This window comes from Homo sapiens, chromosome 13, assembly GCF_000001405.40.
Source record: "Homo sapiens chromosome 13, GRCh38.p14 Primary Assembly".
In the NCBI taxonomy this organism is placed as follows: domain Eukaryota; kingdom Metazoa; phylum Chordata; class Mammalia; order Primates; family Hominidae; genus Homo; species Homo sapiens.
The window spans coordinates 74,632,780-74,637,735 of record NC_000013.11 but is presented as its reverse complement, the minus strand read 5'-3'; positions in this window follow the sequence as shown (position 1 = coordinate 74,637,735).

Here is a 4,956-nt window from a genome sequence, read left to right as displayed (position 1 = left end):
TGAAGACACTTCCAATTAAGTGGAAATATTATGGCCTGGCTACACGGTTTACAGAGGCATTCTTACATCTACCTGCGTTTACAGTTCTCACCATGAACAATAATCAAATTAGAGAGAGTAGTGCCACTATCTATGTTCACTGCCATAGGAGTAAAAGAATCAAACTGAAAGATGCTCATTGAAGAGAACATTCTTGGCCGGGTGCAGTGGTTCACGCCTGTAATTCCAGCACTTTGGGAGGCCAACGCGGGTGGATCAGGAGTTCGACACTAGCCTGGCCAACTTCACGAAACACCTAGCCAAACCCCATCTCTACTAAAAATACAAAAAGTAGCTGGGTATGGTGGCATGCGCCTGTAGTCCCAGCTACTCGGGAGACTGAGGCAGGAGAACCGCTTGAACCCGGGAGGCGGAGGTTGCAGTCAGCCAAGATCACACCAATGTGAGACAATCCAGCCTGGGCGACAATGTGAGACTCCATCTCAAAAAAAAAAAAAAAAAGCTGGGAGGTGGCTTTTCTTTTCTTTTGTAGGTGTGACTCAATATCAGGACTTTCATGCTTATAAAATAAATACCAGCTCTGGAGTAGTGGCCAGAGTCGTCTAAGCCTTTTTCATGTAGTTTAAAATTGCTTCCTCCATAAATATATCAATTACTGATTTTTTTTTAGTTTTTTCATAGTTTCTATCATATCAATTTTTGGTGTTATATGAAGATAAAAGTTAATGCTACTCACAGCATTTTAAGCCTGTGAGAAGGAGAATATGTTTATCAGAAAAATGCTTTCATTCGGTTCTTAAATTAAGTTCTGAAAACAAGACATCTCTCCAATCTGGAAGGGGAAATATAAATAGTCAGAGAGGATTCTGTCTCGGCTGAGACCTGTGATGGGAGATTTATGTCCTCCTTTAGACACTCAATAAACAATATGATAAATTAGGAATCAAACTTCTAAGACAGTATGAAAGGAGTTGGTCTTTCTGATGGTGAAACAGACCTTTCATTAAATCTGTGTGGGGCAGCCTTTTCAATAAACACCATTGATAATTTTAAATTAAATATAGTAAGGAGATATTATAGCCTTATTTTTGATGTCCGTACATCTGAGTACAGACTAGTGCTTCTAGATAAATATCTGGAACTGGTCATGAATTACAGATCATGTGTATTCAGTGTTTGTTTCTTTGCATATAAGCAGTGCATTTTATTTTATTTTATTTTATTTTATTTTTTGAGACAGAATTTCACTCTTATTGCCTAGGCTGGAGTGCAATGGCACAATCTCAGCTCACTGCAACCTCTGCTTCCTGGGTTCAAGCGATTCTCCCGCCTCAGCCTCCCGAGTAGCTGGGACTACAGGCGTGCACCACCATGCCCTGCTAATTTTTGTATTTTTAGTGGAGACGGAGTTTCACCATGTTGGCCAGGCTGGTCTCAAACTCCTGACCTCAAGTGATCCACCTGCCTCGGCCTCCCAAAGTGCTGGGATTACAGGCGTGAGCCGCTGTGCCCGACCAAGCAGTGCATTTGATCCCTGTATTTACAAAACCTGATTGCAGTATGTTGCATATTTGTGTCCCAGCTCCATTTCTTTTCATTACAATATAATCATTAAGTTATATCTTGTATACTACCTGAAGAAAGGGTAAAAGAAAATAATCATTTGTTTAATTCGTGCTTATGAACATAAATTCATAAAGTTCAAAGAGAAGACTATAAAAATTAAGTGACAAGTAACAGCAGGACTACTCATCCAATTGAAAAGCTTTGGGTTTTTTTTGTTTGTTTTATTTCTGTTTATTTTCTTATGAGACATGTTTATATTTTCACTTAGCATATAAGAAGTGTTTAGTCCAAGTAATATATTTGCAAGTCAGTAAAATTTTTCCTACAAAAAAAGCCATTGGGTTCATGATTACATTTTAGCCTATAACTGTCAATCATTAAAATTCATGTTATTACAGTTATTTCTAAATTCCCAAAAAGATCCCTTTGTGTGCAATGGCCTGGAGAAGTATGTAATGTAATATATAATTATGGTCCTTCTGAAAGCTCTAATTACAGGATGAATCTAAATATCTTCTCTACCATGACTAGAATAGCCACATGATTTCCCCCTATGTCACAGCTAATCAGGGACACCTACGTCTGGTTTTAGCAACTGATCCCACGTAAATTAACTGAATTAAATGCCTTGACATAGATTCATGCATATGCTTGATGTGACAACCCAATTATATATTTTCAGTTTCTTATCTATACTTCTCAAAAACTAATTTCCCAAACAAAATTGAAGTAGTATACAATAAAAAAAAAAAAAAGCAGAATCCTTAGAATAAGGATCAAAACATAACAGTTAAGCAATGAAGGAAGAAACATGTTTGAAAATCTAGGCTAAGATAATTACTCTATGTAATCATTAAAGTCACTTCCAAAGCAAAAGGAAACTAACAAAGAAAGCAGACTGATTGATCAGGAGAAGCCGCTTTTTCTCAAAATTATACTGCCCACGGCAAAGTCTATTTCCACACTGTTTTCTGCATTAGAACTGATGGATATGTTTGCAGGACTTCTAATTCCTATAGGATTTGATAAGTTCCAATTACGCGAACATTCTTTCTTTTCTGAAATAGCTATTAGTTCCAGGTAAATATGTACAACAGCTCTTGGCGGGATGTTGTCAATCAAAGAATAGCTGTTTTGTTAATAAAAGGGAATAAGATTTACCTTCAGAATCACAGTCCTCACGGACAGCCTAGAAATTGTGATTTTTAAATTTATAGTTTGGTTTCTACAATATCAAATTCAGATTGCTATCATTTAAAATTTGGAAAAAGGGAAAAGGGTACTTTGCTACAAGATTCAATCTTATGTTCCTTACACATGAAGCTACTATGTGGTCCATATCAGACAGATTTCAACACAAGACACATGAGTGGATTAATTGGAGGCATTTGTGAACCAACTACTATGGAATAGGAATACGTAAGATATTCCAATTTGGGGTTTATAAACTTTTTCTGTAGAGACAAATAACAAATATTTTCAGCTCCGTGGGCTACTCAACTCTTCTGTTTTAGCACAAAAGTAGTCATAAACAATATGTAAATAAAAATAAAAATTGGCATCGCTGTGTTCAAATAAAACTTTATTTAAAAAACAGGCAGTGTCTAGGCCTGCCTCTTGTAGTGTGCCATCCCCTGATCTAGGGAAATAGAACAGATAGTTACCTACAAAGTGCTATAAACAAAAGTTTATTTTCCTGCCATGGACTTACTTTCAAGATGTGTTAACCACCTTGTGCTCCATTGGAGTGTACTATAATTTCATACTGGGTTGGGAGGGCTGTCAAGAGAAGTACAATTGAAGAGTTCTTCAAGCAGGATTTCTCCAAATCCTTGCCAACATTTTTTCTGATATAATTATAGGAATACAATCTTCAATGAGATATTTTTTACCTTCTATAAACTTTCGAGAAATAAACATATTTCTGATGTTTTCTCATACAACCTCTTTGTTCTCATAATTACTCAACTAATCTAATATAACTAAGCACCAACTATGAGTCAAGCATTATGCCAATTTTTTAAAAATCATGTGATGAGTTTTTAGTATCACCATGGCATTAATACATATAAAAATATTCCAAGAGAATACAGTAAAGAAAATGAAACAAAGATGTAAATCACTACATTTCAACAAACATTCAACTTACGCCAAGCACTACATGAGTTTTTATAGGAGACTTTACTAGTCAGGGTTCTCCAAAGAAACAGAGCAAACAGGATATATGTGTGTATCTATATGCACACAGACACACACACACACTCCAATAGATATACACACACACATACATATATACCAATAAATTTATTATGAGTTGACTCACATGATTATGGAGGCTGAGATGTCCCACAGTCCAGCCAGAAATCCAGGAAAGCTGGCGGCTTCATTCAGTCTGAATCTAAAGATCTGACAGCCAGGGGATCTGAGGTGTAAATCCTAGTCTGGGCTATGTCCCATCTCTCAGTTTGAGAGATGTCCCAGCTCAAGAAGCAATGAAGCAGGGAAAGAAAAGGAGGTGGTGTGGTCAAATTTCTTCTTCTTTCACCTTTTTAATTCAAGTCCTCATTGGATTAATTGATACCCCAAAACATTGGCAAGGGCAATCTACTTCTCTGAGTCCACTAATTCAAATACTCAGCTCATCCAGAAACACTCTCACAGACACCCAGAAATGTTTAATCTGGGCAACCCTTGGCCCAGTCAGGTTGACACATACAATTAACCATCACAAAGACTTTTTCAAAGTAAGACCAACATATTGTATTTATTTTCCACAAGCCTATACTTTCTTTGTTGAAACAAAGCAAACATACAAAAGAAGATGAATATAACCCTGTATTTAATCACTGATACATTGCATCTTGTATATATGTTTTAATTAAGAAAGGAGAGTTATCAGTATGGTCTGGATAAATAAAATAGGGAGGACTTAATAAAATTGAGATAAAATTGAACTTGGAAACATTGTTAGAATACAAATATGAAAGACGTACAGGTCCTTAAAAGAATAAAGATGGCTTTGAACTTAGGAAATTGGGATCTGTGTCCTAAAAAAGAGAGTGATGAAACAAGTTGATACTTGTTTACTTATCAACTTAGCTTGTCATCTCCAAGCTGAAAAACTTAGCTTGTCATCTCCAGGCTAAAAAACAATTAAATGATAAAAACACATATGTATGTATTAAGTTCTTAGCATAAAACAGAGCTTAATAAATCTGAACTGTTAATATTATCATTTAATATAATTTCCTCAATTCACAGATATGAACACCAACTCCCGGAATGGTGTAGTGATTTACCCCATACAAGATCATCGCTTCCAAGGCAGGTCTCTTTCTACTAATCCATGATTAAGAGAGATAAGCCTAGACTACTCTGAATGTCTTTCCT